The 12,387-nt window shown below is 30.8% G+C and overlaps 1 protein-coding gene across 7 annotated transcripts in view; it reads left to right on the top strand.

The window, feature by feature from the left end:
* The window catches only part of PCDH9 (protocadherin 9), a 927,503-nt gene that overhangs the window by 29,582 nt on the left and 885,534 nt on the right, over positions 1-12,387 (top strand). The window lies entirely within an intron of this gene.

The raw sequence follows: 12,387 nt of genomic DNA, 5'->3' as shown, positions 1-12,387 counted from the left end.
TCCACTCTTCAGCATCGAAATGTCAAGCAATTTGCACTTTAACTGAGTATTCTAGACTGCAGAGAAGCAGTTACAAGGAGGTGACGTGGAGAAAATATATGCAGGTCTGTTAAACCCTTTTGTGCTCAATTTACAAATGTATTTAAGACATTTAATAGTAAAAGTTTGCAGTACATTACTTTTGGCATGCTATTGAAAAATGGTAAAGCTAGACTCTTAAATATAGTCAATATAAATATAGAGACTTGGTTTAGGTTTGCTCACTAGAGGATTGATTCACTTATTTTGCTAAGAAAATTTAGATTCCTGGGTTGAGCACAAACCCTATACCATCATGAGTCACCACAGTATTTAATACCACCTTATTAAACCTGCTGGGACACAACCACCTGGCTATTACCATAGAGAAACACATGTACCTCTACACTGCTGTGTAGGGATGCATTTGCTTTAGCTATGTGTTTTATATTTTGATTCCCTACAACAGAAGTGGGAAATTCAATTAAATTCACATAGAAAATAACTCTCCCAGTTTGTGGATTATTTTATTTAGATACTAATTAAAAACAAACAAGTAAAAAATTATTGATGCCATTTAAAAGTCCCAGCATGTTTCATTTAAAAAGTGTCCCATTTTTTAAGGATATTCATTGAAAGAGCAGAGATGAAAAATGGCTAATCATAAATGTAGAATGCATGTTCCAAAATTGCTTTTAGTCTTAAAGTTATATTTATTTTAACCAGAGGCATTTAGCCCATTCTGCCCTATTTGCTAGTTTGGTTTTGTTTTTGCCAGTGGTTTTTCATAAAGAAAGGAATTTACTCAGGTCCATTTGGAAAATCTAGCTGAATGAAAATACCATCAGCTTGCTTTGAGGTTCTCATGCTGCACACAAAACAGAGCATGTTTTCACGTTCCACCCATAAATAGAAATATTTTGCATAATGAAGTAGTGAAATGTGAAGATAAACAAGAACTGAGCAAGCGGCTTGTTGGTATCTTAGTTAAATGTTTAAAAGTCCAAGATAACAAATGTTTCCTATAACAAAAGAAGTGATTTCAAATAATATTTTCTCCTTTGATTAGTTCCCTGAAATTGTTTCCTATTTTAATGGTTTCCAGCAGTTCTATCCATTCCTTTATCCTTTAATATTTTTTCATGAGCTGTAATTCCTTACAAAGATTTTGCCCACATGTTTATTTACAAGTAGTACATATTTTGTCAAAACACATTGATACATTATCCAAATAATGTTCGTCACTTAATTTCACTTCAAAGATGTATTTTGCTATTAAATTGGATATTAATATTCTGATACATACTAATTAAATATGTATTATTGGTCATTTTAGAAGCAAGTGATTTTTAAGTGAGAAGAATAGAGTGCAGGGGAAGGAAAAAAATTATGACTAACCTTTAAACAGCATATTTTTATAAAAAAAAACTAATTTAGTTTATCTTCAATTTAATTATCTAATCACCAGAAATATAGTGCTTAATCTTAGAGATGTAGTTGTATATGGTATATGTTCACACATTTATACACCCAGATATAAATAAATTATAATACATATTCACTTAGATATAGAATATATTTATACATAAGTTCAGATAGATTGAAAATGATCCAAGCATCAATTCTTCTGTACTGAAAAAACCTACAATTTATGTTTATTAAATATGATCAGTTTAGTTATCTTTTATACAATCAGATTTTAAGACATGTTAATGTGATAATTACTTGTGATGTTATTTGAATAATGTATCACATTTCTGTTTTAAATTTTTGAATAGAAATAGCTTTTGAAATTAACATTAATAAGTATTCTTTTTTTAAAAAATTATACTTTAAGTTTTAGGTAATAACCTAAGTATCATAAGCAGAGGTCATTATTTCTCCTATAGCCACTTTTGCTATTTAAATATTTCTTAAAGCACAACTACCAACATTTAGTTTTTGAAAATATGAGAGTAACTATTTATTCATATGAACACATAAATAAATTCAGAATTATCAAGTTAGTTTAAATGAATCATTATTTTAGCTTTTTTGTATCACATTAAAATACTATGACTGTCCCCCAAAAAGGGTAATTCCACACTTCATTTATTTAATGAGTTTTTATAGATTACCTAGGTTATGGTATGTGTGTTTTGTTAAGTGGATGATTAGCATATTCATGATTTGGTATGTTTCACATGCCACACTTAGCAACCATCCTAATAGATTTTTAAGGTGACTGTTTGTTTGTTGTGGTGGAAGAAACGATAAAATTAGAAGTTGTGTATGCCAAATGGGATTTCATAAATTGCTGTGAATTCAAAAGAAAACTGGCAGAATTTCTGGTACACAGTAGGCGCTCAATAAATACTTTTTGAATAAATGAAAGGAGACTCCTTAGGATTTATTTCTTCTTAAAATATGTATTAGTAATAATAATTTACACTTTTATTTACAAATAAAATTGTAGAAAATCCTTGTTATAGGTTAAGATGCATACTAAGGTAAATTTTAACATTTTATTTCATTTATTTTTCCCCTTGACATATTTGCAAGATAGAACAAAGTATGTTCCCTATAATGGAAAAAATAACACCTAATATTTGTGCTTTTGTTTAAAAAAATCTGTACATGATATTTAAAATAAATGTATTATCCCTATAGTTCATAAAAATCATTGAACAACTATATTCTATTTGCTATTTTTAGTGTAAATATATATTTAATAAAATTATGTTTTATTTTTAAAATATCAAAAACAATAAATACTGGAAAATCTATGCTGTTTTGTTGATAACCATGTGTTACTTTCTTTGCATTATTAGTTCATGTCTTATATAGAATTGTAAGAGTTTTAATATTAAGTCATTTATAAATCATCAATATTAATTGATACATTTAAGAGGATTTTTAAAATATATGTGCTAAATACATACATGTAATATTGTGCCTTTTGGCAATTACTTATTTTAATCATTTTGGAGATATACAACAGCCTTAAGCATATAAATGGTTATCGATATAACAGAAATATATTTGCTGCTTTAAATATTTCATTTAAAAATTGTCATTTCTAAAAAGCTTTATGTTTTGGACTCCTTTGAGTATAATTTAAAGGCTATAGGCCTGCTCCAGAAAAATTCATATACCTGCAGATATATATTTTTTGAAATTGCAGATCAAAGTTCCCACAGACTTCATGGAGCCCATCTATAAAATCTTCCCGGAGCCTGTGGCCCTGAGTAACAACCAAATAAAAAGTTATTGGGCTCTCAATGCAACTCTTAATAAATATGCTTTGAAAATAGCTTGGAGTATTTCAAATAAAAAGAATTTAATATTCTTTTCCCAGCACTAGCTATTTTTTTTAAATGAACTTTCTTCAGAACCAGTTCCTTGTCTAATAATGGCTAAAACCTTGAAACAGTTTAGCTTCCTTATCTTGTACAATATAAAAATGAGATAAAGACACATTTTGCCATAGGAATGAATGCATTGATCACATTGATGAAATGCTTTTTATTGAATATATAATTGAGGCTATTACCAGACGTGCAAATATGCAGCCAGATAGAGCTAGCCAAACAGAATGTGGCAATTTTAAATTTAGACTCCTTTTGATGTATGCAGTCTACATTATGTGTTAAATTTGATTTTTTTTTCTATATTTTGTCCATTGTCCTTTCATTACTATAAATTGCACAGATAATCCCTATGGAGGGACAGGACAAAGGTATTTTTTCCTGTTCAACTTCCCGTTTCCAACCTAGACTTTGCCTAACATTCTCTTTCTTCTTACAAATAAACTAGTAAAAAGAGTACATTTCTTTTTTGCCTATAGCCATGTTTATAATTTCACATGAAATAATGTTTGAAAATGTGCACATTTTATTTCTATCCCCATTTCTGTGAAAATTAAAGCTTGGTATTTAAGCATTTTTCAAGGTCACAAGAGCTCCTATTTGGCTTAGGTAGGATTTTGGGTTTTTTGGTAATCTAACACTCATTCCAAGAATCAGGATTGATTTGAAAAAGAGACAAAAATATGCATTTAAAGGACAACGAATGAAACATTTACACAATCATACATTAAAATGCACTTGCCCAGTATTCATTTTTGGAACACGTACAAAACTTTGTTATTTATCTATAATATTTAATAGTATTTGTCATATACGCAGAGATGCTTTTCTCCATACATTTACACTATAAGTAGTTTTCTCTAACTCATGATCAAAGACATTTCAAACTTGATGAATTAGTATGTTTTTGTTGTTTTGTTTTTCCATGTATTTTCTGTCAGAATTTGAGATGGAAGAAGTTTTTCTTATGACTCAGGAGTAAAACATCCTGGATGAAATTTATAATCAATACACATTTATGTTCATATTCCAAGTACCATTCTCTCTCAGTCCATTTCTTTAGGATGTATTTCTTTATTCCTCTCAATTACAATTCCTCTTTAGTTTTCGGCTAATTCATATCCCTATTAGCGCTACTATACCTGGTACTTGTTTTGCACCACATACATTCCACATATTCTTTCTTTGTGGATTATTTTTAACCTTCAAAACAGCTCTATTAGGTAAATGTTACTTTTATCCTCAATTCCTTGATGAAGAAACTTGAGTTTCAGAAATATTAAGTGATGTATCCATAGAGTTTGTTTACTCTTCACAACAAACTATCACCGATTAAGTGACCACTTCAGTGTCACCTCTCCTTTAAAAGTTAGTGATCCCTTTATTTTTTACAACTTAAGGTACATTTTACATATCATATAAGTCACTCATTTAAAGTTTAAAATTCCATAATGTTTAGTAAACATATCAAGTCGAGCAACCATTCCTATAAACCAGTTTTAAAACATTTTTATCACTCCAGTGAGATCTCTTGTACTCATTTATTGTTAATATCTGTTCCCATATACATGGAGTCAGCTATCTCTATAAAATTGACCTTCTTGGTTATTTCATATATATGGAGTCATGCTGTATGTAATATCTTGTATCTTGCTTTTTAGTAATCATTTTTATTATTACTTTTAAGGAAATATACCTTTAAATATCATTATAATTATCAATATTGTCAAAATATAATAATTCATTCTTATATCCCCAGAAATATGAATAATTTCTCCCCAAAGCATTCTAGTTGGCACAAATCTTTATTTTGCTCAAAAAGTTCTGGTAAAGTCTAATAACTTGTCTTAAGAGTAACGAATTATTTTTATTGCTTTCAAACTGGTATTTCCATCCTTTGGTACCTATTAAGGAAGAGAGATTAAGCAGTTACTTTTAAAGATCTCAAAATGTACGCGGTGGCTCACGCCTGTAATCCCAGCACTTTGGGAGGCCGAGGCGGGTGGATCACAGGGTCAGGAGATCGAGACCATCCTGTCTAACACGATGAAACGCCGTTTCTACTAAAATACAAATAATTAGCGGGGCGTGGTGGAGGGCGCCTGTAGTCCCAGCTGCTCGGAGGCTGAGGCAGGAGAATGGCATGAACCTGGGAGGCGGAGCTTGCAGTGAGCTGAGATCGCGCCACTGAACTCCAGCCTGGGCGAAAGAGCGAGACTCTGTCTCAAAAAAAAAAAAAGAAAGTATGAAAATAATAGTCAAGACATTATTAATTGTCCCAGGAGACTGTATTGACTGGTATTTTCATAGGCATTGTTTTGTCAGTGGTTTGGAGGGATAACATCCTCTTACGGAAATTTCTCAGTTTTCACAAGTGATCCAGGTTCCTATTTTCAATCAAGCCGGTAATTCTTCCCTGACACAAAACACATCCATTGTAATTACAAATGACTTTTTTTGATAAACGGTCTCATATTTATATTAATGATGATGTCTCTTTGTTATTTGTTTGAAACATTTTTGTTTTATTTTGTTTTGTTCCTATATTTCGACATCTACTCTAACTGCTGAGTAGTTCCAACTGTGCCCCTCATGTCAAAAAGTCGCAAAACTTTTCAGTTCTCCTAGAGTAAATTAAATGAGCAGAAATAAATGCTCTCCATTTCCTGGCAATTCTATAGAAGGCATCAGAAACTTCAAACTGCAAATTTTAAATGGTGGTAAACCTAATACAATAATAAATATGAATATTATTGTAAATAGGAAGCAAAGGTTTTACATTGCAAAATATACCACATGATCCGACTTTTATTTGCTTTTAAACTTAAGCTGCCATTCCTCAGTTTTTAGTAGCAAATTAAATTCTTCAATTATAAATTTTGAGCAAATATTAAGCTAGTTTTATTCTCTGAACAAATATTAAACAGCTAATTTGAGGAGATGGTCAGAAATGGTCGATAACAATGTAGTTTTTTTTGAAGAGTCATTATACCTCTGGAAAATCAAATACAAAAAAAAAAAGATAAAAGTTAAAAAACTTATTTCAGTTTTCCACAGTCATGATTGAATTTTTGTCCCCTATGGTTTTATTTGGAGACAATGATTTTATGAGTGAATCAACATTAGTAAAACAGAGAAACATTGAATGTTTTATAATTTCTGTAGTGCTTATATGAGTGCAGTAATCAACAAGTCAATATTTGAAAGCACTTAGAAAAGTATCTGGCACAAAATTGGCATCATTAAGTATTTGATAAGTAAGACTGATAAGATTCCCCAAACAAAGTTTTCTTCTCAATTTAACTTTGAAAACTGCTTTTGCTTTGATAGTCTTCTGTCCAATCAGCTTTTTTAAAATTCCTCTTGATTTATGTAATAGAAAAAATGTAAATAACCTATAGGTATGCAATTCGAAAGTTACATTGTTTCTTGTTTCTGTGTATGTATGTGTAACTTAAATATTAGTGACACTGAAGTTAAATGTTGGCCTCGTTTGTATAATAAAATCTGACTTAACAGGAATATTTAAAACTGGTTTCACTTCCATAGAAATATGGACAGAATTAGTAAAAGGTCGTTTCCATGGGGATTTCAGGAGACTTTCAAATAGAAAAATTAAAGGAACCTTTATTTGAAGCATCCATAGACTCATAACTATAAGATTCTCTTTAAATATTACTTGTAAGTAAAGATCCCCTCTTCCCTTAGAAGGAAGTAATTAAGAATATACATCCAAGGTAATCTATAGTAACATAGGCTCTGCACAAGGCATTATTTATTTATATGACATTTATTTCAGAAAAACTCATGTTTTAGAGTTTAACAGATAGGTACTCTAGTTGAAATTCATGTTCTTTCTTTAATTTCAGGCAAGATTTGAGATATTGTGCTTACTTTCCTGAATTTATTTTTATTGTGTTAAATATAATGAAACCTGATTAGAGAAAAAAAATAGATAAAAGACTGCAAAAACTATTGTGTTACAAGGGAAGAGTGCCAGAGATTGATTTTTTCTCCTATGTTGTGTGTGTGTGTGTGTGTGTGTGTGTGTGTGTGTTTTAATCTCCAGTAGCACAAAGCACAAATCTTCATATGCAGTTGACCAAGAACTAAACCTTCAAGGAAAGGGAAGATCTTATGACACTATCATTTTTGGTATGGGATTTACTTAATTTTTCAGACATCTTTATTTCACTAGGCTGAGGAAATTTGTCCTGGGTACAGTCAAGACCTAGCATGTCACTGGATATTTATTGGGTTCCAAACCAATGTGATTTTAGTCTGGTACATTTGAACATAGTATTAATTTTAACTTTTTGCTGTAATAGGGATTTCAGATACATATTTCCAGCTTATCTTTTTAGAGTTTACAAAAGCAATTAGGTGTTGATGGACAGAAAAGAAGCAACAGGACTAAGGTGCTTGCCAACAGAATTGGTCAGAGGGACAGTTCCTGTTAAACAGTTTTCCCTTTCTGCTACTCGTTGAAAGATAATAGTATCTTACGTGAACTGTCCTTATAAAAACAGAGTTTACATGTGCTTCTGGCAAAGATACAAGGGACCAAGTATTTAAATCGAGTGGTTTCAAAGGTGTAGCTTTGGACGTAAATGTAAAGAAAGGACTATCCCTCTTACAGGTTATCTGTGTTATTTTATCCACATCTCTTCAGGAATCTACTCCATTCACTATGATTTCCACCTTTCTGAGTTTAGCCACCAGTGCTTAGTTATTCAGCCTTCCTTCTATTTTATGAGATAACCCAGATCCTTTCTAATACATTTCTAATACCACCCCCCTAATTTTGAATTCACTTTCGTTCAGTCAGAATGAATATGTTCTTGTTATTTGAAATCCAACTATCTTAAAAGGATTTTATAAAAGCACTCATAAACCTATGGGTTTTATATGTATAATGTAAGGCAATATATATGCAGCCAAAAAGTGCTATAGAAATGGAAGCTATTATTTCTGACTGGGATCGTCAGAGAAACCTTTAGAAGAGAGATTAAACCTTTGAAGAAGTGTCTCAAATAAGTTTAAGTCAATAACTAATATTTGTTTGATTTTTAGTTATTTCATATTATTTTAACACTTTTCACTTAATTATTCACAAAAATATAGTAGGTTTGGAAAATCAGATTTTTTTCACATCTTAACACTGACAAAATTAATGTCAAAGAATTGCATAGTGGAAGAATACGTATTATATTCTTTTTGTTTTTCCCCATCCCCAATATGTATTATATTTTTAATATGTACTAGGAACTGTGTTCATCTCTTTCTACATCTTCCAGCAATTCTTTTAATTATAGACTGATTTACCCCAATTTTTAAAATTTACTAATCGACAAATTACACTTGTACAACATGTTTTTTTTTTTCTGAAATAGGTATCATTGTGGAATTTCTACTCAAGCTAATTTTAATGTGTTGATTTACTCCAATTTTTACAAATAAGAAATCAGAGTACTAAAGTGGCTTGTTTAGGATCATATTGAAAGCAAGTGGTTCAGTTCCAGCAAGGACTCTTCATCTTTGAGTTAGTTCAATTTCTTTCTTTCATACAGTTTCTTGAAAGAGGATTAGCAGAGTTTTAACAGAAAGGAGACAGACAGAGAATGCTCTTGGGAGGGGCCGGAGACAGGGCAGGTAGAGAAGAGAGAATGGCGTTAAGAATATAAGGCAAGTCCAGGTGGGGGTGATAATGGCTTGACCAGGGCAGAGATTTGTGCAGGAAAGTGGTTAGAGAAACACCTGAAGTGGCAGGCTAGTGTTAACTTATGGTGAGCACAATAGCTTTCTTGATGTTTTAGTTGTTTCCAGTGTTTTCAAACTGAAATGTGAGAATGTGTTCCTAACTTTATACGAGATTATATAATAGTTTCCTTTAAAAGGGTTGAAATAATTATACCCATTAGGAAGCAATTCAAGATAGAGGGATGTGAACAAAGTAGTGATTTATAGAGATAAATTCTTCAAATTTATTCAAATTTTTATCAAGTATTTATTGAGAGCCAATAATATGTTAGTACCTGGGATCAACAAAATGATCAAGATAACCTCCCTGTTTTCCAGGAATTTATATTTTCGAGGAATGTACATTCTCCAAAGAATTTATGTTGAGACACAGAAATGTACTAAACAGATAAAGTAGTTATAAAATTATGTGATAAGAATATATTTGTATTACTTGTGGAATGAGAATTTAGCCTATAGTAAAACTTATAAGCTCAGAGAGTGAATTGTTTTCTTTTTTAAAAGAAGAGGGATATCTTCAAGACATTCATCATGATATGAGTGGATATTCAAGCACTAAAAACATATTTCATTGCATTGAGAATTACAGTCTTAGTAGATCACATATGAATAGAATGGAGGTCAAGACCTTGAGAACTTCTTGTGCAATCATTTGTTAGTGTTTTTCAGTAAGAAGAAAAATAGAAATTAACAATTTGACTATTTTCCCATTGTGTACTTATCAATAAGAAGGTCAAATGAAAAGTGTGCTTTCATCTGACATTTTTAGATATTATTGGAAACGATCAAGAACTTAAAGCACATAGAACATAAACAGGCAATGCGTATTCTTTCTGGGAGATAAGAAGGGTTTTGCTATGTTTTAAAAATATATTATTCAAAAATTACAGAAAAGCTTGAGTTATAGTAAAATTATTCATACTTTTGAAATCCTTGTTGACAAATCTATATTATTAGTGTATTTGGGCACTTCTCTATTCTACAATTTAATTACTAATTTACATTAACAGCTTTTTACTGGATTCTGACCACCCAGCATTTTCAAAGCAGAAATCCAAAGTTCTACCTTAGAAAGTACATTCTTCAATTTGCTAGTTTATCTTCCTCAAAAATGGTTCATTAATTGCTCAGTTTCCTCTCTATTTTGAATTAATTATAAACAAAACAAAATATTTCCTCTTAATTTAAGATATCAAAGTCTAGGTGAAATTACCATAAAGAAGTCTAGCAGACTCTGATTTTGGAAAAGTAAAAATTAGCCCTACAATGATTCATACATTTATTTACTTAACAAACATTGATATTCTGTTCACAATTAGTGTTTTTACCTGTCCTGTTTTCTGCGTCTCTAATGTTTTGATGCCATTAGAGATATGAAGCATAGCACCCATAGTATAATAAGATGAACTGGGTATCAAAGGGCTAGTGGCAGGAATCAGGTAATATCTTTAAGCCTCAGTGTCTTTGTATAATAAGGAATTTAGAGTACAATTTCTAAGATTCTTTGCATATTTAAAATTCTATGAGGACCTTCACAAAACTTTTTAATATTATAAGCCTTACAAAATGAGACTGGCAAGTAAGATTTCAACTGATCAATTTTAATGTCAAGAAGGGCATAAATATTTGATGTGCCTTTGGTAGACTAATTTTGTATTATTTTTAATAACTCTATCAAGAATTTGTTTTATTTTGTTTAAAAACTGCATTCACTACTTGTATTTATATAAGTAAATTAAAACATTACATTTTTTTTTTCTTGAAGACAAAGCACTTTTTCCTTGAAGCATTAGCCTAAGTAACTTCTTATTCTCTTGCTAAGTTTTCTCTCTATCTGGAATGATCTTTTGCAGATTGTCAAATGGCTTTCTCCTTCATCCACTTAGGGCTCCTTTCAGTACTGCCTCGTTATTGCTTTCTATCCTTTTTCATTTACATTTTTATCTCTTTTCTCATCATGGCACTTATCACTGTCTAACTTTATATTGTACATTTATTTTTTAATTGTATATATTTTTGTAACTAATTAGAAAGAAATTTTATCAGGCAGGTTTCTTTACTCGCAGTTAAGCCGTATCCTTGTTGCCTATATTTACTATGCTATCCAAAGAAGTAGTCACTAACCACATGTGACAATTTAAATTTAGAATTAAAAGTAAATGGTATAAGAAAAATATTTCTTCAGTCACAGTAGCCACATTTCAGTGCTTGCTAGTTACATGCGTCTGTGTTTAATGGACAGTACTACAGTGACTATCATATAATTGGTGCACAATAAATAAAACTTAATGAATCAGTAAAAAGAATAAAAAATCTTGAAAGTTACAGTATGCTTTTTAAATTAAGATATTTCTCCAAATGTCCACCAATCAATGAGTGGACAAAGAAATTGTGAGAGAGATACACACACACACACACACACGTATATATGTATATGTATATATGTGTGTATATGTGTATATATATACGTGTGTGTGTGTGTGTATTCCTTCATATATATATATGAAGGAATTAACGGCATTCTCAGCAACCTGGATGGGATTGGAGACTATTATTCTAAGTGAAGTAACTCAGGAATGGAAAACCAAACGTCGTATGTTCTCAGTCATAAGTTGGAGCTAAGCTATGAGGATGCAAAGGCATAAGAATGACACAATGGACTTTGGAGACTCAGGGGAAAAGGGTGGTGGGAAGTGGGTGAGGGATAAAAGACTACAAATCAGGTTTGGTGTATACTTCTTGGGTGATGGGTGCATAGAAATCTCTCAAATCACCACTAAAGAACTTACTCATGTAACCAAATACCACCTGTTCCCCTAAAACTTACAGAAATTAAAAAAAATTAAAGATCTATTACAGCTGCTCTTATAAAAAGGAACTTTCAGTTTAGTTTTTAAAAAATAGAATTATTCCCATGAAGTTATAGATATTATAAGAGTGAAAGCATAAAGCCTATTTCTCAGGATTTTATTCACCAGTAAAGTAAAAGCTTTCCAGGGCAGATCACTAGGATAATTTTTTTCTCTTTTCAAATGTGATTCCAAATATTTCATTAAAAGGACATGTACATGTTTTATAGATAAATAACTTATTGAAATTAACAGAAAATTTCTATTAGTAAAATAGAATTAGTGTTAATACACAAGATTACATGAGGAATTATACCTCCCATGCCAATTAAAAATACCTTTAAGATTATTTTCTATGATTTCATAAATAAAAGCATTGTCAAGATAAAAGTACCAAAATATGTTTTGAAAAA

The sequence above is a fragment of the Homo sapiens genome, chromosome 13 (genome assembly GCF_000001405.40).
Source record: "Homo sapiens chromosome 13, GRCh38.p14 Primary Assembly".
Taxonomy (NCBI): Eukaryota; Metazoa; Chordata; class Mammalia; order Primates; family Hominidae; genus Homo; species Homo sapiens.
The sequence above is the reverse complement of the archived record's forward strand: the minus strand, read 5'-3'. Positions and strand labels throughout refer to the sequence as shown.